The sequence below is a fragment of the Homo sapiens genome, chromosome 2, assembly GCF_000001405.40.
Source record: "Homo sapiens chromosome 2, GRCh38.p14 Primary Assembly".
Lineage (NCBI taxonomy): Eukaryota > Metazoa > Chordata > Mammalia > Primates > Hominidae > Homo > Homo sapiens.
Window position 1 is genome coordinate 41,465,903 of NC_000002.12, and position 24,654 is coordinate 41,490,556.

Consider the following 24,654-nt stretch of genomic DNA (forward strand, 5'->3'; position numbering starts at 1 on the left):
GAGGAAATAAATATATTAATAAATGTTTAAAACAGTATTAGGAAGCCAATAACTTAGGATACTCACAGATAGTGATGGGAGGGAAACATCTCTTAGCAATGATTACCATCAAGGGCCTCTGAGGAGGGACCAAAATCTGAAAGATGATAATAGCTAACATTTATATGAGTATTCAATACACTGTTCTGACTGCTTGACATGTAATTACCTATGTAAGCCTCATAACAACACTGCAAAAGAACTATCATTATACCCATTTTGCAGTTCTAGAAATGGAGACACAGGCAATGTCAATGTCTTAGTCCATAGACTGGGAGGCTTACAAACAACAGAAATTTACCTCTCAAAGTCCTGGAGCCTGGGAAGTCCAAGATCAAGGTACTGGAAGATTTGGTGTCTGGTGATGGCCCATTTCCTGGTTCATATATGGCACCTTCTTATCGTGCCCTCACATGGTGGTAGGGATGACCTAGCTCTCTGGGGTCTCTTTCATAAGGGCACTAATCCCATTTATGAGGGCTCTACACTCACGACCTAATCACCTCCAAAAAGCCCATCTCTCAATATCATTGCCATGGGAGTTACGTTTCAATATATGAACTTTGAGAGAACACAAATATTCAAACCGTAGCACTGAAGATATGAATCTTGAGCCTGAGGTCACAGATATGCTGATGGATAAAAGTGGGATTTGGAGGCAGACTGTCTCCAGATTTCATGTTCTCAACTATTATTTAATACTGCCTCTGACAGGAGGGGAGCCAGCAGCATAAAGCTTTTGGGAAGAGCTTTTCTTGAATTAAGCTCAAAGGCCTAAGACAAAAATAAACATGCCCTCACCATGACAGCAGACACAGCTCCTTTTAAACTTTTTTTTTACCTTTCCTTTTTTAAATAACCTTCCAGTTGTGCTTCAGATGTGACAAGCAACCCAACGCTTTTTCTGCCATTATCCTATAATTTCCTTTGCCTTGGAGCCAACCTAAATTTATTCCTTTCATTTTCTGAGTTTGACCCAAGCAAAGTTCTTCTATAATGAAACTCCAGGTCTCTGTCCGGTTTTAACCCAGATAAACCATCAACTCTTGTAACAGAATACAATCCTCCTTTTCTTTAAGACCTTTCCAAGAACTGATCTACCCAGGAAACAGTAACAACAAAGCTTCTGGATCCTATGCCAGGCCCCAAAGCCCCATGACAAAGAACCGTAGGTGTAAGGACGGCCCTATATATCTTTAGCCTCAGCCATATATGCCAAGATAACAGGACTGAGTCTGTCAATTTCTAACATATTCTAAAAGATCTTAAATCATCCCTCTGTAATGAAGGCTGCAGAATCCATAGAGGTGGGTTGCTTTGACTGATGTGGCAGTAGCTGCTACAATCATTGAAGAGTGAACAAATAAGAGGTGGGAGCAAGAAAGGAAGGCAATGATGGATTTAGGATTCTCTAATGACCATATCAAAGGAGACTGGAGGATGAATAGCCAGCTTACTCAGTATATCGAAGGCTGCTAGCCAGGGGTAGGTTTAATAGTTCAGGGTGTTCTATGATGAATTCTATGGCTTAGGAACATGAAGAGACCACACACCAAATTTTCGAGGTATTTTCCCTAGTATATTTTATCAGTTAGGGTTCCATTTCTGAAAAGAGAACTAACTCTAGCCACTCTAAGAATAAAGAGATTTAATAGAGAAAGCTAATTGTTCATCCGCTCCAAGGCTGACTCCCAGAACACCCCAGAACTGGCCCACCAGGGGAACAGCTACATCTACTATAGCCAGGAAATTTCAGAGGTACGAAGCCACTGTGCCAACTACTGGTTCTAGCATCACATCACCTGGGTCATAGTCTGGATGTCCAGAAGTTTCTGCCAGAACTGCTGACCCTAGTGCCATGCCACTCATGCTAGGATAATATTTGCAAAATGGATCTCTGCACATCGTTGCCTCTTTCTCCATTTAATTCAGTTTTGAATGTATAACTTCATCTGTGTGTCTGATTGGAGAGCCCAAATTATATCGAGAACCTGAGCCACAGTGATATCTGAGAAATGTTTTTAGCTTTCCAACATGTGCACTATGGAAGAGAATACCAAGAAGAGTTGGGATAGATGCTCTATGATCCAGGTTATTATATCTGCCACTGATACGTTCATTTGCTATTCAAGAAGGATGATGTTTTAAAACTGGTTCTCTTTTTTAGAAGCTTGATCATTAGATACAATAACCATTTGCCTCATGAACAAATTTGTCTAAGAAATAATGTCTACCCACATTAGATACAGGTATCTCTTATGTAGGGACATGTGTTCCTCAACACAATTGTGTCTAGGTGCATTTTTGTAGATTAAATACTATATTCTTCTTGATTTATAGCCTTTAAGAAGATGAGTTTTAAACTGATATTCAAGTTTTAGAGCCCCTTAATGATTTAAATTTAAATTTCTCCGGTCACCATCTTCAAGCAATTAGTAATTTGTTAGTAAACAGTTTAAAGGACTAGGTTAGGGGATGGGAGAAAAATACACAGAAAATAGTAAATAGCATATTATATTCACTCCTTTTGCTTTTTTGTACTTTAACCTAAGATATCCTGGAATTAACTCCACATCAGCGCATAAAATTCTTCTACATTTTTTCAAAGCTGTCCAACATGCCACTTTGTAGATAGTGTCTGTTACATAAAAATTTAATATTTTTATGAGCTAATCAGAAAATATTTCCTTTTAATTGATGAGTTTAGCCCAGTTACAGTTCATCATATAACTTTAATGTAGAGTTTCCACCCCATATTTGTTTGTATTATATTTAATTTGTTTCTGCTAATATGTTTATAGGTTTATTTTCTTTGCTTTCATGTATTTATTTTTATATTTAGAAAACTTTATATTTTTATTATAAAGGTGACCTTTATACCAGTATTTTTTGTAATGCTCGTAGGCCTTCTTCCTTATCCTTAACCTTCTGCTGTGGCTTTAATTCCTCCTATTTCCTATGTGGCAATTAATAAGCTTATTCTATTTTCTACTTTCTCTCTTGCTTGTCCTCATCTGTTTTTTCAGTTGTGTTACTTCTATTTTATCGTAACGGGTAATATTCAAACACTATTCCTCCCATTTTGCTGCAACCTTCGTTTTGGTCTTAAATCTACAATTAAATATATTCAACACTCAACATCATTCCTTTTACTGAGCTAGCTCCAGTCACGTCTTGGTTTAATGAGGCAGATCTTCTAATGGGTTACACAGGAAGGTCTGTAAATTCAGCATTCCTTGAGCTCTTCCTGCTTAAAATTATTTTTCTATAGTTTTGACACTTAAAGAATAACATCAATGTTTATAAAACCTTTAAATTATGTTTCCTTGAGTTTTATGACAATGCTCCTCCACTGTTGCCTTGCTTCATGCTGTTTTGCTGTCAAAAGTCTAAAGTTAGTCTAATTTCCTTTGTTCTATAAATAACTTGATCTTTTTGCTTATCTCAAGTCTGTTCATTAAGTTTAATAATTTTACTAAAATATGCCTCAGAGGTGACAATTTATAATCAATTTTCCAGGTACACAATAGATCCTTTCCATATGAGAGTGTAAATATATTTTTGAATTGCCATTTTTATTGAATATTATTTACATATTTTATTACTTTCTTTTTACTTGTGGACTACAAGACATGTATGTTAGATTTTTTTGCCTAGGTTCTACATCTAAAACCTACTGATACATTCAGTTTTTTAACTTGTTTTTTCTATTCTTGGCTATTTCTATTCCTTTCCTTTATGTTTTTAGTCCATTTACCTATTCTTTCTTGAGTATGTCATAATTTCATCTACATTTCTGAAATGAGCTTTAAAATTTTTCTCTTCTTTCTTCCCTGAGTTTGTTTGATCATTTTTCTCACATCTTCCTCTTTCTTGTTGTTGTTGTTGTTGTTCATTTCCATTCTGTTGTTGAATTTCTGATTCAAAATTCTCTGTCATATGTGAAAATGCTTGTTTTGTGATACTTAATGAATGCTGAGATGTATTTCAGTCGTCTTCTGCTTCTTGGTTGTTTTCCAGGTGATGAGAAAGGTGAAAAGTGTTTTTACCATGTGAAAAATTTTGATTTCCACTTTTTATTTCATTCTTGAATAAATTTGGTGTGGGTGTTGCCTGACATACTGTGTTCATTTTTAAATGTTTTGGATTTTTCCAAACCTTAAATAACAGGTGTTTTTCCATGGGAAGAAATTAAGGTGAAGGTTTTGGTGGATTAATGGTTTCTTAGCTCAAGATCACCCTCTTAGTTGGTAGAGCAAATTGCAGTGTCTTTAATAGATGTACCTTTTTGGGACATTTGGTATTTCTTATTATTCAGTACTAATTTTATTTAGGGCATTTATGATATGATTTTGCTCTGTGTCCCCACCCAAATCTCATCTTGAATTGTAATTCCCATGTGTTGAGAAAGGGATCTAGTGGGAGGTAAATAGATCATGGGGGCAGTTTCCCCCATGTTGTTCTCATGATAGTGAGGGATTTCTCACAAGATCTGATGCTTTCAAAGTGGCAGTTTCCCCTGTGCTTTCTCTCTCTTGCCACCTTGTGAAGATGGTTCCTGCTTTTCCTTCACCTTCCACCATGATTGTAAGTTTCCTGAGGACTCCCCAGCCATGTGGAACTGTAAGTCAACTAAGTCTCTTTGTTTATAAATTATCCAGTCTCAGGGAGTATTTTCATAGCAGTATGAAAACAGACTAATTCAGAAAATTGGTAGTGGGTGTGGGGCACTGCTATAAAGATAACCTTAAAATGTGGAAGTGACTTGGAACTGGGTAATGGGCATAGGTTGGAACAGTTTGGAGGGCTCACAATAAGACACTACGATGTGGGAAAGTTTGGAACTTCCTAGAGACTTGTTGAATGGTTTTGAGCAAAATGCTGATAGTGTTATGGACAATGAAGTCCAGGCTGACGTGGTTTCAGATGGAGATCAGGAACTTATTTGGAACTGGAGCAAAGGTCACTCTTGCTATGCTTTAGCAAAGAGTCTGGTGGCATTTTCTGCCTTAAGATCTGTGGAACTTTGAACTTGAGAGAGGTAATTTAGAGTATCTGGCAAAAAAAATTTATAAGCAGCTAAGCATTCAAGATATAACCTAGCTGATTCTGAAAGCATTCAGTCATATGTGTTCACAAAGAGATGGTTTGAAATTGGAACTTATGTTTAAAATGGAAACAGAGCATTAAGGTTTAGAAAATTTGCAGCCTGACAATGTGCTAGAAAAGAAAAACCCATTTTCTGGGGAGGAATTCAAGCTGGCTGAAAAAATTTGCATAAATAACAAGGAGGTGAATGTTAACAGCCAAGACAATGAGAAAAATGTCTCCAGGGCATTTCAGAGATATTCATGGCATTTCCTTCCATCACAGGCTGGGAGGCCTAGCAGAAAGAAATGGTTTTGTGGACTGGGCCCGGGGCACTACTGCTCTGTCCATACTTGGAACTTGATGCCCTGCATCCTAGCTGCTCTAGCTCCAGCTGTGGCTAAAAGGGGCCAAGGTACAGCTCAGGCCATTGCTTCACAGGATGTAAGCCCCAAGCCTTGGCAGCTTCCATGTGGTATCAGGCCTGTGAGTATACAAAAGATAAGAGTTGAGCTTTGGAGCCTCCACCTAGATTTCAGATGATGTATGGAAACTCCTGGACGTCCAGGCAAAAGTCTGCTACATGAGTGGAACCCTCATGGAGAACCTCTGCTGGAGCAGTATGGAAGAGAAATGTGGGGTTGGAGCCCCCACACACAGTCCCCACTGGGGCACTGCCTAGTGTAGCTATGAGAAGAGGGCCACCATCCTCCAGACCCCAAAATAGTAGATCCACCTACAGTTTGCACCATGTGCCTGGAAAAGCCACAGACATTCAACACCATCTGGTGAAAGCAGCTACAGGGGCTGTACCCTGCAGAGCCATGGGGTGGTGCTGGCCAAGGCTGAGGGAGCCCACCCCTTGCATCAGTATGCCCTGGATGTCAGACATGGAGTCAAAGGAGATTCTGGAGCTTTAAGATGTAAGGACTGCCAGGCTGAGTCGCGGATTTGCATGGAGCCTGTAGCCCTGTTGTTTTAGTCAATTTCTCCCATTTGGAATGGGAACATTAACCCAATGCCTGTACCCCCATTATATCTTGGACTGTTGAGGAAGGCATGATTAGTTTTGAAATGTGAAAAGAACATGAGATTTGGGAGCAGCCAGGGGCAGAATAATATGGTTTGACTTTGGCTCTGTGTCCCCACCCAAATCTCATCGCTAATGGTAATCCTCACATGTCAAGGGAGGGACCTGGTGGAAGATGATTGGATCATGGGGGTAGTTTTCCCCATGCTGTTCTCATTATAGTGAGTGAGTTCTCATGAGGTCTCATGAGGTCTGATGATTTAAAAGTGACAGTTTCCCTGTGCTTGCTCTATCTCCTGTCACCTTGTGAAGAAGGTTCCTGTTTTCCCTTCCCTTTCCACCATGATTGTAAGTTTACTGAGGCCTCCCCAGCCATGCAGAACTGTGAGTCAATTAAATCTCTTTTGTTTATAAATTACCCAGTCTCAGGTAGTTTCTTTATAGCAGTGTGAAAACAGACTTATTTTTTATATTTTGCTTGCTTCTTTATTTTCCTCCATCAGTTATCCTTCAGAGATAAACCTCTGTTCTTTTAAGTTACCTCCTGGGACCCCATAATTGATGCCTCCTGTAGTTATTCACTTCTGGTCCCATAAACTTTCAAGCCCCTTCCTTTTGATTCCCCAGTTTCTGGTAGTCTACTACACAAGGGCTCCAGTTGATTCTCAGTATTTCCACTCCACCCTCAGAGTAAGAACCTTTGTTCAGGGGATAATTTAATCTTTGTTCCAAGCCTTCTAGTACCTGGCTGCCCTCTACTGTTTTCTGCACAGTCTCTGACTCTTTATGGGATTGGGACCCAGAGATGACTCCTGGTTGTCAATATTTCCTCATGAGTTAATATAAAGTTGTAGTATTCTCTGTCTCCTAGTTATGCTAAATGGTGCATTTCTTCTTTTCTTTTTAATATTTTCAGAAGATATGGGAAGAAATTCAAATTTGGGTGGTCACCATAATCCTATAGGAACCTATAATTACTACTTAATATTTTTAAAGCTATTTAAATGGTATCAGTCTCTAACAACTATAAATTTCTAATAAAGATAGTCATTGTAGTTTTGTACATTAACTGCCATCTTTGCTAAACTCTTATTCTAATAATTTATATATAGATTTGGGAAGATTTTTGTATATAAAATTATGTCATCTGTGAATAATGAAAATTTATATATCTTCATTTCCAATCCTTATATCTTTTATTCTTATGGGCTAATGCCCTCAATAAAATGCTGCAGAGAAGGTTTGATTAATGGAATTTTTTTTATCATTCCTATTAACAATGAGAAAACTTTTAAAATGTCACTATTAAGTAGGATGTTTGTCCTTCATGTATTTGTCTAGTGTGTTGTTAAGTGTAGCAGGACGGCGTGCGATTTTTGGCGAAATATATGCTGATTTCCTTGAGTTAATCATTAAAGCTCACAGCAAAGGATGAAAGATTCCAAGAATCACCAGCTGTTGGGGCTATCCACCTCCTGCAGGGCTCACTGAGCAGAACTGTAATTCTTGAAATTGAGCAATCTCAAATCACACAGTATAAATGTAAAACAAATTTTACATTCACCGTAACCATCACCAACCATGTTGTATTGAGTTTCTTTATCCTCTGGGCCGTGAGTTTCATTATGACACATTAATCTGATTTTTTATCAGTCTTAACATGCACTAGTTAAAGCTTTCCATGTGTGTTTTTAAGAATTCATTGTACTCACTTAAAATATTAAATTATACAATTAGAGAAAATTGTTTAAATACACAATAGGTGAGAATGCTCTTGCATTAGCACTATTTCTAGTCTCTGGTCCCCAACCCTTTCATTTGGGTTATTTTTGATACTGATATATGTAAAGAAAAAAGAAATCAGACATTTTTCTATGTGTTTGCAAGCTTATTCCACCCTTGTTTTAAGTATCCCCCAAGTGCTTACATTCTGATGTATGACCATTTGCTCCCTGTTACAGCAGTCCCCAGCAAACTTACAACCCCAGTCTCATATACCCACCATGGCCCTCAACTCTGGAGCCTATGGCATAGATAAGCCTATTTCCCATACCTCTAGAAACTGGGAACTTGAGGAGCTGCACCACCATACCAAATCCCCTCAGTGCTCTTTGCCAATCCAGTATCAACAGAGCAGGTCAGCAAAGCCTAGCTGCTTGGCAGAAATCCTGCAGGAAACTGGACATCATTTTTCCCTCTAGCAGAGAAGTCTAAGGTTTATGAGTGATCCTCTTAGCCCCTTCCCTTACCTTGACAGAAAGCAACAAGTTGAGTGCCCCACTCTTCAGCCACAGGAAGGAGAATGCAGAAGATGGCCTCTCTTCATGAAGAATGCACTCCCTGCAAAAGGCATACCAGCTTACTACCAGCCTTTCTCTAACATCAACCAAGAGGGATGGGGCTAGGTTGCAAGGGTCACCTCTGATGAACAGGCACTTCTTAGTCATCACTGTGGAAAAGTGGCTGGCCCAGCATCTGTGAGTTCTCTAAACTTAGAACATGGAGTAAGTAAAGCCTTTGCTTCTCAAAAGCTATGGCCTTGAGTTCTCAATTTCTGAAAAAAAAAAAAAATGAAGCTCCTACTTGAACTTGTAAGTTCATGCATAACATCCTGCTTCACCATCATGGGGTAACATTGTAGCTTTAACTTATGGGCTTTGTCTCTATCCCAGGCTTACTTCAAACCATCAACACATGAAAAGGATAGCTGTCACTGAACTGTTTCCTTCAGATCCACTTGACTATCTGACCGAAATTAGTGGTTTAAAAGAAGCATGCATCAGATATCTGAAAAGGGTCAAATCAAACAACAGCAATAAGCAACTAGAGTTGTTACATTAGTGGTACACTTATGAATAATGTCATCATGTCTGGTTCTTTATATCCAAGATGAAGTAGCTAGCTGAAGCAACCACTCAGTTATTTCTGGGCCAAAATACATAATCCAAAGAAAAGTGATAGGCATTGGCTCATATATTTAAAGCAAACTATAATATTCACATTCATTAGATTGTGACTGCACTCCAATTCATTAGCAGTTTATTGATACAACCCAAGATAATGACAAAATTCATATGGAGATATATCCTCTGAGAACCAAAACCAAGTTTCTTTTTCTTCTTCCTTTTCCCCCCTTCCAGCCTTTCCTTCTTTGCTCTCTTTTATTTATTTACTTTATCTTTCCTTCCTTTCTTCCTTTCTTTCTCTCTTTCTAGTATCTCTAATACATGGCATAGCCAAGTCTATTGTAAGTGCTCAGGAAATATTTGTCAAGTTAAACAAAAAATTAAAATGTAATATTTTATTTATTAGAAATGAATATTGTACAATAAACTTTCTAGACTTAGAACTGTCCTCAACCTCCTGTTAACTGCCTGGGCATTTGCACTGAAATTTACAGTGGCATCTTTCAAAATCTGTGCTGCTTTGGTGCATGCTAACATGGCAAGCAATTTCTTTATTGGTTCTACCACACTAATCCCTCTTCAATTCAATAGGCATAATGGAGACAAAATAAGTCAACCCGACAAAATCTTTACATTTTTCCCTTTCCTTCATGTTTAATCTTTCTCTCTCAAGGCAAAAGAATTAGATCTTTGAAGTCTTCCCAACCCCAGAAATCCCCTAATTCTTCTCCTTTCCCAGACACACTTTTTATTTTACAATCATGTAACCCATATTACACTTCTGTCCAGCATTGGTTGTACTCTCCTCTCTCTATTCCCCATACACACATCATAAGTTACTTACTAATACTATTGTTGGCACTGCAGACCTCCGTCTAGATATTAATTTACTTTATGGTTTGAAGGGAATTTGGATTTTGAAGGGAGTAGTGCCAAAGGCATAATTAGGTCAAGAAGCATGAAACTGTAGAAAAAAGATTATCATGTGTTTTAATTCAATGTGAAGAATGACTCTCTGGGCACTTGAGGACTGATAAGAAACTGAGACCCAATCATGTGAGAATTAGAGAAGAAGTGACATCTAGTGACAGCAATAAATACATCTAGTACCAGGGGTAAGGAGAAGAAAGAGAAGGAACTGACTAGGATTGAAACCCAGAGACAAGGAAATTTCGTGAAGAAAAGAGGAAGTGACAAGGAAGATTCTTAGCAAACCAGAATAGTTTGAAACACGATTGAACAAGAATCTATGAAACACAAAAGAGAGAAACTGTAGAGAAATGAGTCTCAGACATTGAAGCACAACATCTCAGTATCCTAGCTGAGTCATCCTATGGGAGTTCCATCTGCTGGTGACAAACTCTGCTATCGCAGGCTCTCTGCCATTATTTGATAAGGCCCCAGCATCAATTCTCCACTTCCACCTACAGGCCTTGGGTTGCCATTCTGTCCTGGTTTGATCTTCCTTATGTTCTTAGAAAACAGCTTTGCTGTGATGACAGGCTGGGATAATAGGCATTTTGTAGCCATAGAGCTAATTGATCCCCTAACTATTTATCAAATGTATATACTTGGCTGAATGCCTCTCTGCCCATCTATAGGACTTAACTAAAAATCACCAAGTTTTATACACATTAAAGCACAATTTTTTAAATCTAAAAACTGGTGCTTAGAAAAGCAAAAAAAAAAAGTTACTTGGTATTGATGTTTTATGTGCAAACATTATTATTTTTAATGAAAATGAATGGTATAATTACAAACAACTATCACTTGTCATTATAACAAATGAGCTTTGTTTGATGGTTAGTTGTCATTATGTTTTCTTAGTTTTGTGAAAGAAAGATAAAGCAAAAAGGAAATGGCTAAAACTACATAAAATTAACCTTCAAAGTTATAAAATCACCCAGTCAAGATATCTGTAGTAAAATTAGTTCCATAACACTCAAGGTGCAAATCTAAATTCTGGCACTCAAATAGATGTGCATGACTGTCTTCCAAATAGTTGGGAAAAAACTCTATACATCCCTAAATGGCCAAGCTACTCATAACTCCCTACTTCCCTGTTCATTTCATCATCTTGACTGAAATTGAGGTTTGAGTTCCAATTCTGGTTTATCAACTCATTTTAGTTATGGACTCCAACTAAAAAGTGACTTATTATAAAATACCTATTTCTATTTCTAAAATTTTATGAAATTCACTCAAGGACATGTGTTTCTTTCTTAACATTGATGAGGTCCTTGTACTTATAATTTTTAAAGTGTCATGAATAAACAGAAAGCATTTCTGAGCACCTGTTTATAAATTAGAAGCAAAAGCATTTTTTCTTTTCAGAGAAGTTTCCTCTGGTAAGAAAAACCAGACAAGTACATTTGATAAACCAGTTATATTATTAAAAAATGAATTACCTGGTAAAGAGTGTATACATTTTAATGTCCACAAAAAAACAGCATTTAAGATTTGTAGTAATGTATGGAGCATTCATGTAGCTACAGAACTTAAATTAGACCTCAAAAGTTGTACAGAACTTGTTTGGGGTACATATTACTAGATATGTCTGATTGCATCATGTTTTATCACAAAGGAAAATAATAGGTTACCTACATGAGAGAAAGAAATAATGTAAAGACAACCTGTGTCATTACTGAACAAATCTAGGAGCCATGGCAATTGGGATAAGTTAGATTTGACAATTTTCTTCTCCCTGTTTAATCTTCAGTGACTTGATCTCTAAGGCTTTGTAAAACCATCGGTACAACTGTGCTCTCTACCAGTTGAGAGAGAGCTGTCAGAAAGAAAGATTATCTATAAAGCCCCTAAACAAAAACCATTAGCATGCCAGTATGATCTAATGCAGAACTATTCTGCCAGTCAAAAAGTTTCAGAATTCTCAACTGTTTTTAGAGCTCTACTTCCTGAAGAGGTATCTTTATTATTTCTGCAAATCTCATCCTTAAGTTTTCTGTACACCATGTTGTATAGTTTTTCCAAAGAAGACTGACTAGTTTGGTCCAATTCTGAATGAGAAAACCCCTACAACTTCAGCTAAGCAGAAATTTAAAGTGAATATGAGGATAATTCCATTGCAATTGTGAGGTAGTCAGTCACCCAGCCAAGTCTGGGTGGTGATGGGAATGAAGTCACCAGGATGCTTACTCTCTCCAAAGGAGATAATCAAGTTGTTAGAACGTAATAAATTTTGTTTAATATGCATTAGGACCTTATTAGCTCTTAATGCCATGCAAAAGATGTTATTATTCTGTACTTAATCCTGTTGTAAGTGCCTGTACCAGAGCTCCCAAACAAATCTTTATCCTATCATTCACAGAAGGAAGAGGGGGAAGAAGACCATAATCTGTCTTCATTACTAACCACTGTAAAGGTGGCCTAACTAAGAAGAAAGCCCTCAGGAGGCCGTTTCATAACCAGTCTAAACATTCCTAAGAATTTCAGATTAAGGCAATTTTTTGATAATCCCAGAGGCAAATTTGAACTACTCAGATAGGTGAAAAGGGAGAGAGATAAGGCATAAATAAATAAGGAGAGTTGAGGATGAAAGATTCTAATAAAAGAAATTTTCCTTGCCTGATTGAAAACATTCTCTAACCTCTGCAAAAATGCACGCCATCTTCCCTTCTATCCTACAGGAGTGGAGCTGCTCCTGATACCTGTACAGCAACTTCATCCCTACTCATCTTCTCAGAGTAGCATCTCATGAAATTCCTCCTCTCCCTCCCCTCTACTGGCAGCTTCCCTTCAACATACAAATAGGGGCAAGCATTTGTCCTCATTGATTTTCAATTAAAAGTACCTTCTCCTAATTTTACCTTTTTTATTACCCTACTAATACTAGCAAATATCCACAGAGCAATCCTAAAGACCTAAAATATTTTCATACTGACAACCAGTGTTTTCCTAATTTTTATTTTTTATGGTGACCTGCTAACCATGCAATAATAGAGTACAAGCATGAGTCATGAAAAAAATAACCTGTTGTTTATTCAGTGATCAAAATTCTAACTTGCTGATAAACAAGGTTGAGTTGTGGATAAATACTGAATTATGGTTTGTGAGTTTTGCCACAGTTCTCAGAAATTGGGAAAATAAATTCATTTTGGTGAAAATAAAAAATCGAGTTTGGGTGGAGACAATCCAGTGTGTTTTGGTTTAAGGCAAGGGTAATTGGGGACCTATGGAAAGCTAAATAGAATTTTTTAGTAGAAAGTTAGAAATGTAGGTCTGGAGTTGCCTAAGAAAGCTGAACTGGAGTTATAAATTGGGAGTCATCAGTCGGCAGGTGAAAATTAAAACTTCGGGGTGAAGATATTATCCATTCACCAATTTCAAATGATGTATCCAAGTCAGTTTTAATTTCTCCTGCTCCATTATGAGCTATAATTTGTTCAAGCGGGAAAACTAAATAAATTAAATATACTTCAATAATGAATACAGAAATAAAGCTAAAAGAAAGTCAAAGGAATAAATTTTCAAATAGATAAAATATCCTTGAAAGAATCAAACAACGGCTTGTTTGAGTGAAACTTCATTTTGTGTGGGTAAATGTGCTAGCTGGTGGAAGCAGTCAGTCTGCAGTAGTACACAGCATGGGGAGTGGTGTGGCAAATGTGTAAGATGTGCAATTCACTGTCATCATGCTAACTTTCATAGCCTATAGCTTACACAACATTTCTAGATAAAGAAAGCAAGAAAAATGAGTCTCAATAGCAAATATGGGTCACAGGTATCTAAAAAAAATTTAGATTAGAGAAATCATATCCTATACTAGTTTATTCTGGGTTTTTTGAGTATACAACACAACTGTAGACTATCTGATAGCACTTCTTATTCTAATCAGCCTCTTCTGAATGCATGTATTACTTGTTTAAATACAGATACATTTACTGGATATATACAGACTGACACAACTGATTTGAATATGTCAATCCCAGTAATATTTCCCGGATTTATCTCATCTATAAGAAACTGTTCCAGTAATTGAGACTAGAGCTAATTTCCTGACAGACAAGATCCCTGCCTCCATGGAGTTTCTATTCTACTGAATTAGTTATGTTCACGAGTCAATTGAGTTTCAACATTCTGTATCTCTGTAGCATTTACTCCAAGCTTCACCAGAATTGTTTAAAAGCACATTTTTAAAAATTTTAACTACATACTAATAGTGATCAAGTAGAGCAATCAAGAAAATTTTAAAAATACTTTGCTCTTTAAGAGCTCTGGAACAAAATGATAACCATTAATTTTATTTGGGGAGGGAGGGGATGTCTTTTGAAATTTTCTGGGGATAAGTAAGATTTAATGAAATAATATTTTCAATCTTGACAACTCTTCCTATTCCAAGAAAGGGTGTTCCAACACATTTCTCTTAGTTGTATCTCTTTAACAGAACCTTGAAAATTTTGTCACGTATAATTACATGACATATTCTTTTCCTTAGAAGAATCTACTCAAGCTGACCAAAAAAAAAAGCAACCCTTAGGAGAATTTATATTTGAAAACAAGTTGGATCTCCTAATGAAAACAAAACATTATTGTAATTTTTTTCCTTTTTTTATTCATTGCTCTACATTTTCCTCCCTAAAGAACATACTAAAACTCATATACTCGTGTCAATGGTATCTTATTTTATTCCAAAATCAAAGAAAAACATTTAGGACTTTTTAGTAACTTAAGTTATTTAATGTATCTTGGTTGCCTAACTTATTTGACACAGAATGAAGAGACATTGTCCTAGATCAGAAATTCTCAACCATGGCACTACTGGCACTTTGGACTAGATGATTCCTTTTTGTAAGGGGCTGTCCTATGCATTGTAGGATGTTTAGCCCTATTCCTAGCCTCTGTTCTCTTGTTGCCAATAGCACCCCCACTGTGTGACAAACAAAAATGTCTCCAGACATTGCCAAATGTCTTCTGGGAAAGGGAGCAAAACTGTCTCCAATTGAGAACCATTGTCCTAATCAAGAGTCTCACTTGAAAGTAGTGGTATAGTTTACAAAAACCTAGTAACAGAAGAACTTTGATTTTAGGGACATAGAAAAAGTCTTACCTCAATTTCAAAGCAGTTTGAGTGTCATCTTATTTACCATTATATTTTTTAAATTTATGTTGTATATTAATTATAGACTATAGCATTGCAGAAGCAGCCTGGGAACAGTATTTAATTATAATTTATGGTTACTAATGTTCTGTAAGGCATTAGGCTGTGAAAATGGTGCACAAACAGAATGTTGAACACACGCTTTTTTTTTAACGTTTCCAAGCAAAGAAAGAAATATTAGTTAGAATGAAGATCCAAATATGAATAGCATGATTGGAGAATTAACATTAGGCGTATTCATTTGCTAACTAGTTGATTAAATTTTAATGTGTTATATTGTGAGTAGAAAGCAATATTATGTGACTATTAATGAAAACCATTTATGTTCCTTCTTGCTTAAGAGCTTTTCTCTTGTTTAATGTAGGAAACACAACGTGTAACTATAGAAACCTGCCATTTCCATTATTGGAATTTTCTCATAAAAAGCAAAACTGATTAAACTTTTATTTTCTGGAAAGGTTCTTAAAACCCAGCAAAGAAACCAAATCTTGCCTTCATAACATTTGTTTTGCCAAGAATAGATGGGTAGTAATAGGAACAGGGGAAAGAGAATGAGGCAGGCATGTTACAGGAAAGGGGTCCCAATTCAGACCCTAAGAGAGGGTTCTTGGATCTTGCACAGGAAGGAATTCAGGGTGAGTCCACAGTGCAAAGCAAAAGGAAGTTTATTAGGAAAGTACAGTGGTGAAAGGACAGCTACTCCATAGACAAAGTAGGACATTCCCGAAAGTAAGAGGAGGAACACATCCACCCAAGTACGATACTCATATATGACTCATATATGGGGAGATGTGCTCTGCTACAAGGGTTTGTGATAAAGGATTTTTTTAATTACTATATTTTGCAAGAATCAACATCATGATCTTTAAAGCAAAATTAGGAATGCCTTTGTTCTCCAGATATTGGCATATATGGACACTCCCAACTCTGGGTCTGTTTAGTAAATATTACTAATTTGTTCCCCATAATCATAAACATCTAGAGGCGAGGAATGCCTAATTTTCTGAGAATGCAATCCAACAAGTCTCAGGCTCATTTTCTTAGCCCTCACACAAAATGGAGTCACTCTGGTTCGAACACCTCTAACTGGAGCTGGAAAATATGATCCATGGTCCCAAGATTACTCTCATCAGCATCCTCATCAATACCCAAAAATTCCTTAAAAATTCCAAGTTTATTTTTCAGATTCTATTTTCTTTCTTTACACATCTGACTCCCACAGTGTTGACTTATAGTCCATGATAACAATAATAATGACAAAATGCCCAGGAGTAAAAATAATTGATGTACTAAATATTATATATTAAAAACAATATATATTATATATTATATTATGCTTATAATATATAATGCTTATATATATATACATTTGTATACATATATATTGCTTTTAATCCATCAGAATAAAAATGATACTCCAAAGCAAGTGCAAAACACTTTGCAAATGGGCTAAACCCTATCCTGCTCAAAAAGTGCAAGTAAACATTTTAATAAAGTAAACTGGTGAGACTCCAAGACCAGAGGTTCTGTGTGAGCTCCCTACATATGGAAATATTATTTAATAATGCTCCAAAGTTAACTGTGACTGAGTTTATTTGACACCCAAACTGAGGAACTTGATAAGGCTTAACAGTAAGAGAAGAGGGGCGGCAGGGGGAGTGCAAATTAAAAACCATCAATTTGCTTGGTTGTTACATTTTCTAACAAACTGGACAAAAGTAGAGAACATGAACTGCTTGTCTCACAATATTCTGGACCTGACCTTTTTCTAAGGCCGGTTCTCATCTCTCGTTTTATTGCGTTAAGCATTCTGCCAAGAAATTCTTTCATTATCTAGTTCCCTGTGTGCATTAAACAATGTGGCATTTGTTTTAGAATTATTAAATAATCCATGTCCCTTTATTTCTCAAAAAATTACTACTTTGGGCTATTTTCCCTCTAATCTATAAGATGTGAAAACCCTAAAGTATTTCTTAATTTGCTTCTTTAATTGACAAATAACTTTTTTATATTTATCTTTTACAACATATTGTTTTGAAATATGTTCACATTGTGTATTGGCTAACTCGAGGTAATTAATATCTTATTTTTAAAGTAATAAAATGATGTGATCAGTGATTTGTTATTATTTAAACATCCAAAATATTTTTGTTAAAGCAGACACATTGCTTGGGGTGTTTTTCCCTTTGGGCTATTTTATTCTTTTGCTACTGCTTGTTTAGGGACTTGAACAGCTTAAAAGGTTTGGTGATGAAAACAGAGATCCCCTTCATATTTACCAGGAAACACTTAATGGAGGACACTGATGTCTTTGAAAGTGCTCTGTTTATGCTATATACTTCAGTACCGGAAAGTAAAACAACACCCTTGGGACACTAAGCCTTTCCCTTGTCCAGGTTAATGTGATCTCCAAATTTGACGTTGCAAATTAAAGCCAATCAAAGATGTTGAAATAGACCCTGAGAAACATCTTTTTGCTGCATCTAAATGGGAAGATTTGTCCCAAATTATTGCACTGGTGGCTCCCCAGCTATGCAAAACACAATTAATATTTCCTCTACTCAGAGAGAGAACTCAAATCACTAAATTATCTGTCTCTTATTTCGTTTGAAAGCTTATCAAGGTAGCAAAGTGAATGAATGTTTATCTGTGGAAGCCACCACAGTTTGTTTTCTTTCTAATATCTCAGAGAGATGCAGAATCATCTATATGCTCCTTGTCCCTCAAAGGAATACAAAAGAACGTACTTCATATTTCATTTGGGTTTCTCTAATATATCCAGAACACACATTCTCTAAATCCTACTTCAACAGAAATCTCCTTTAAAAAAAAATCCACTTTGTATCTTTCAAATATAAGGTTAAAATAGTTTTTTCCAAATGTTCAGTTAATGAAAAGCATTTTTTTTTGAGGAAGTGGCACAAAATACCCAATTATATTTTACATGACATCAGTATAGCGTAGACTCTCAGTGACTCATCTGACCCCAGAGAAAGGGGACTCTAGCATAAATGTGGGATGGAGAGATTGGATATTTTTTCAATATCATATTTAGAGCATGGTTTCCATCCCTTCTATCTGACCAGCCCATTTCCCTGGGGCCTGCCAGTGGGCTGCACGGTGGGTCAGTCACATGATAGGGATGACTTTATATTTGTCCTTCAGTATTGTTCAGAGGAACAGTAATTAAAGAATGATTGATCTAAGTTCTGAAGCAATCCTAGAGAGTGGAATTTTCAAACCCCGGAAATATATACTTAAATATTCTGAATTTAATCATACTGAGATTAATGTTGGCAGCAGATGAAATCAGTCCATATCGTTTTCCTTAGAGGGAATAAAACATTGGCATTGCTAGTCAAACTAATACATCTTTGGTCCTGAGTCACTGATTTACTTGAAGTCTGGAATATTTACATTGGATGAATGAACAATATAAATGAAAACGCAGCTGTACATATGGGCCAACAAACATCAATAATTTAATTATTTTCCTCCATAGCAGATAGAGAGAAATAACTTATGGGGCCAATGGGAACATTAAAATAAACTTGTCTCTCTTGGCTAGTAAATCTGAAGAAAATACTTTACCTCTGCCAGGGCAATATTCCTAGAAAAGCTTTCTTAAGCCCAAGTAAGTTTAACACTCCTTCAAATGTCATGGTCTAATCATGTGCAAAGACTCCTCTATAATTCCGTGATTCTCTAGCGAGGGACAGGGAAAAATACTTTCCTTTGGTTTGTAAAGAATGGAGGTTTAACACAAATTAAGGAATATTGATGGAAGATAATCTTCCAGTTCTTCCACTTTACTATTTATACACCACTGTACAAAGTTTGTAATATTACCTTTGTCCTTGGGAATAGCTAAATGACTTTCCAAAGTCCATAAATACCAGTTGGGGAAATTTGTATTCAGAGGAGTAAAAGAAAAAAATGGAAATGGATTTGACAAGCATAATAACATCTGCTAGGTTTGGAAAATATGATTTTCCTCAAGTCATTTTATGTAATTTACATCCAAGCTTAGAATAATGTTCCAATTTATTAGGCTGTGTTGTAGTTCCAGTTATATTTTATTTTTTAACAGTAGGATCAGTTTTACATATAATCTTACTAATCTGCACAGAACTTTTTATTTTAATAAAAATTAAATAATTTTACTTTGGCACTTTTTATAGAAAATAGCAAAAATTTTAATTGCAAAAGAGCAAAGAGCTATAAACTAGCACATGGTTAAAATATGACTGGGGAGCTCATGTGACTTTGAAGCTGAGCATTCATTAGTACTTGGGATTACCTCCCAAGAACACAGTACCTTACACCACCACCAAAAATATATACCACATACATGTATTTGATGGGAATGATTCGTGAATGGTCTACTCACAAGGCTTTCTGCTCTCCCAAACTGTGACCAGATGGATTATATGCAGATAATGGAATAAATTTAACTTGCAAGTTGTTTTGGGATCATGAAAAGGATATGGAAAAGAGGATAATACCACATTGCTGGTTTCCAGTTCTAGTTCATCCACCTACGAATCTGGACAAGTCCTGGTCTCTCTGACCCCTTTGGTTTTCTTATCTGTGACTTGTGAGTAGTAATACCTGAGAGGATTTTTGTAAGAATCAAGTGTACAAGTTATAATTAAGGTACAGTCTACCAAAACCAGAAAGATTAATTTTTCGCTACACAAACAGATATTTAGGGAGAAGAAGTAAGCATTCTTTCATAATCCAAAATATTAACAGATATACAGGTAACATTTTTCAATATAAGAAGCCTAATCCATTGTCTGCATTGATACCAATGTCAGAGCTTTCAACTTGTTAACTGTGAAGAACACTTGAAACTCAATAGTAAGAAAATAACCCAATTAAAAAATGAACAAAAGAAAAAATATAGGCAAAAGACTTGAACATTTTACCAAAGAAGGTATACAGATAGATGGCAAATAAGCACATGAAAAGATGTTCAACATCATCAGTCATTAGAGAAGCACAAATTAAAATCACAATGAGGTATTACTATACACCTATAAAAATGGTTAACCCTCTTTAGAATTCAAATACCAAGTACTGAGGCGAATGCAGATCAACTGGGACTCTCATACATTGCTGGTGAAATGCAAGGTAGAACAACTACTCTGGAAAAGAGTTTTGCAGTTTCTTAATAATGTTTTACTAAAAGTTATATATACACTTACCAGAAGTCCACCTCTGGGATTTACCCCAGAGAAATGAAAATTGATGTTCACACAAAAATCTATACATGAATGTTTATAGCAGTTCTATTCATAATTGCTAAAACTCAAAATATTCTATATGTGCTTTAGTGAGTAAATGAATAAACAGTGGTACATCCATTCATACCATGGAATACTACTCACCAATAACAAGAAAAGAACTATTGATACACAAAACAAAGGATTTATGCTGAGTGAAAGAAACTAGTCCCTAAAGGTTACATGCTGTAAAATTCCATGTGTATGACATTACCCAAAATAAAAAACTATAATGTTTGAGAACGAGTAAGTGGTTACCAGGCCTTAAGAGTGGATGACATTGTGTCTCTAAGGGGGAAGCACAAGGAAGTTTGTGGGGTGGTGGAACTGTTCTGTATCCTAATCGTGGTAGTGGTTACACAAATCTAGACATGTGTTAAGATCAATAGTGCTGTACACAAGAAAAACTGAATTTTACTCTATGAAAAATTTCAAAGTAAAATTTAAAAGGGACACTGTATATCAGTCTACTATTGAAGAATGTTTAGGATTCTTCACTTTGTACTGAATAAAATTCAAACTTCAAGGCAATTTTTCCTCCTCCACCTTCTACCACTTCTCTCATCTTCCCTCAGTACATAATGATCAACAGGCAGTTAATTAATACTTGTGTATTTAAGTCTCAGATTTTACATTTACATAATGATGAAATGTATCTAACATGAAATTTTAAACAGATGTCTTCTCTATACAATTCTAATTATTCAAATATTTGCAAACATCTGGATGGACAATTTTTTTCACTGTCTCTAGATATTTGGCACTTTTCCAACATTGAAGTTTTTGCATATTAATATTTCCAGTCCCTAAAGGAAAAGTAGTTTTTCATGTCAAATGAATTATTGCATTTATGTCTCAATGTCTACAAAGTTGGTCAATATCCTCAGTTCAATGTTTCTGAATCATTACCTATATTTGCATGCTCAGAACCAGGAAAGTCACACTGTTAGAATTCATATTGATAACTCTCTCTCTCTCTTTCTATACATATATGTATACATACACACACATATATACATATATACATATATATACACACACATATATACATATATACACACATATATACATATATACATATATACACATATATACACATATATACATATATACATATATACGCATATATATATACACTGTATATATATATGTGTGTGTGTATATATATACATACACATATATCACCCTATATTAAACTATTGAAAATCTGGTATAAGTTAACATTTGGGGGTATTCCTAGCCTCCTACCCTGTGCCTTTCTTTCCTGTGAACTATCACCTTCACCCATAAATTTAATTTCTAGCAGGTAGCCATCTGTATATCTTCCAACTGACTTTTCAAAGTTATGTTCAAGAGCGATAACTAAGAAGTAATGTGTTGATTGGACCCGAGTGATTACCAAAGAATCTTGACTAGAAAAACTGACAACTGAACAAAAAATTCAGTACTCTTTCAATTCCACATAACATGATCACAATAATCTTGCCAAAAGCAAAACTACATTTTAAAATAATGTGGATTGTCTTAGAAAGCAGTCAAGGGGAAATGTTCAAGGGTAATAGCAGGGTCCAGCAGGACAAATGGGATGTGGGCAGGTAGGGAGTTCTCCCTATGTCCCTGTGGAAATCACGCACCCATGTGTAATTTTATCCTTGAGAAGTTATTCAAGGGAACTGGACACATATCCTGACCCCAAAATATCCATTTTGCTAACTTCCCAAGGCCTAAAATACAACCACAAATTACTTGTCACTTTTAGTCTAGAGAAAATAATGAAGTAAAAAAGGCATGGGCCCTGACTCCAATGGGTCTGATAAGTTAGAAAACGAAAACTCTTCTGTTTGAAATAATTCATGAACAAATAAAGGTACAGTTCCACAGGAAAAGATCCACAAACAGGAGGAAATCAGAGATAATGGAAGAGTGGAAAGTATTCAAAAGCTTTTGATAAGAACCTAGGCTTGGTCTGTGCCTTGAGTAACTAACATACAGAGAGGAAACAGCAGTTCATTCTGGAAAAATGGATTGAACACAGGGTGCCAACAGGTATGGCACCACAACTTCATTAGCTTTGAGTATAGCCCATCATTACAATATATGTTTTTACTTACAAAATTTTTAACAAAATATTTTCAATATTTTTCTCTGATGCTATCCAAGAAAGGAGCAATGAGAAGGGAAGGCAGATTTTCTTCCTCTCAAATCTAATTTATGCATTTGACCTTTCTCCTTGAGAGTTGAAGCAGACTTCATAACCCAGGAAAAGAGGCAGGACATTGATGTTCTAAACAAATGACTAACTTATCCCTGTTTCCTTTACCTGAAATACCGGAATATAATGTTAAATACAAAAGTATATTACCAGCAAAGCTTAAACAAATGTTATGTGCATTTTAAAACCAAGAGTAAATGGTTCTTGTCTTAAATACAGTCTAAATACTGTCAAATTGTCTAGAAGACGTAGTTTTTCCTTACAGCCCTAGGATGCTGGGAAAATTGCTATACTATCTTACATATATATTCTTGAATTAACAGACAGAAACACAAACATACACACACAAAACACACAACTGAAATAAAACACAAGAAAGCTAGAACCCTTGATTTAAAAAAAGAAAAAAATGTATTTCCTGCCTGCTGTATGCAGTAGTAATTTTAAATATAGATACATGGTATCTAGAGCAAGGGAAACATTTATAGCAGAACTGAAACTGGGAGAATTTCCAGGAGACTAAGTGTGGGACTTTTTTGGTTTTTATTTTTTTTTTTTCTTTTCTCAGAAAGGACAGTGTATTTTAGAATTCCCAAGAAGAAAGGTCAAATGAGAAAATTACTTTCAAGAGGGGGGAAATCTGCTTTCCCTTCTAATCTTGTTTCTTTTTTGGACAGCATCAGAGAAAAAAATGTTGAAAATATTTTATTAAAAGTGTTGTAAGTAAAAACATATATTGTAATTATGGGCTACATTCAAAGCCAATTTGGGGTTAAAGTCTGGTAATCTCAAGGAAGTCATGGGCCTTTAAAGTAAAACAAAGTTTGTACTAGTCTAACTTGCCATCTAGCAAACTATTGAGACTTGCCATCAAAGAAGTCAAAAGTAAAAAAGTTACATATCCTTTTATCTTTACAGAAAGATTTTATTTGCTAAACAAGAAAACTGAGAAGAATAAACTTAAAGTTTCTAAAAGAAATTCAAGAATCCCAAAGAAATAAGCTTAAACTATTGTTATAGAATTGCTGAATATTAGATTAATATGTATGAAATATTTATATTTGTACTTATAATCCAAAATATTTATACCCCTGCAAAGTAATTGCAGATATGAAGTGAAGTGGCAGAGTATAATAGTTTCCTATTTCTGTGTAACAACCCCCCAAATTTAGTGGCTTATAACACTTATTTTCTAACCATTTTTGAGTCAGAAATCCTGGTACTACTTGACTGGAACCCAGTTTCAGATTATCTCACAGGCTGCAATCAAGGTACTGCAGTGGGCTGCAGTCATCTCAAGGCTTGACTGGGGAAGGATCCTTTTCATAGCTCACTTACATCACTGTTGGCAGGAATTACTTCCTCAAGGCTGTTGGCTAGAGGCTGCCCTCTGTCCCTTGCCATGTGGACCTTTCTAGAGGGCAGCTCACACATAGAAGCTTGTTTCATCAAAGCAAGCAAGTAAGAAGATACAAGGAGAGAGTCAAAACATGATGGAAGCTCCAGGCTTTTATAATCTAATCCCTCAAGCAACACCCATCACTTCTGCCATATGCTATTTATCAGATGTGAGTTACCGGGTCCAGTTAACACAAAGAGAGGGTATTACACACAAGGGCCTGAATGAGAGACTCAGGGCAGAGATCAATGGGAACTACCTTGAATGCTGTATGCAATACAAGGTTTGATAAAGTACTTAAAAATGGATAACCATAAGTTGGTTGCAGATATATATATATAAATATATATATATACACACACATAAAATGGAGGAATACTTTTCTTCTCGTAACCATTAATGTTTCTGCTTTTAACAGAGTCAATTTTAAATATAAATGACATGAAATGTCAAACTGAATTAATCTTATCAACCTAACATTTAAATAATGCTTCTTTGCTTGAAATGTTATCTCATACTGAAAGTATAGTCATCCCTCTCAGCATTCATTGTGTATTGGTTCTAGGACTCCTAT

At 35.9% G+C, this 24,654-nt stretch overlaps 1 long non-coding RNA gene across 1 annotated transcript in view; it reads right to left on the reverse strand.

Moving 5' to 3' along the window:
• Positions 1 to 24,654, reverse strand: part of LOC105374506 (uncharacterized) — a 165,476-nt gene that overhangs the window by 53,374 nt on the left and 87,448 nt on the right. The window contains exon 3 of the long non-coding RNA XR_939997.3: positions 8,407 to 8,497. This is a non-coding gene — a long non-coding RNA (uncharacterized LOC105374506). The remainder of the gene's footprint in view (positions 1 to 8,406; positions 8,498 to 24,654) is intronic.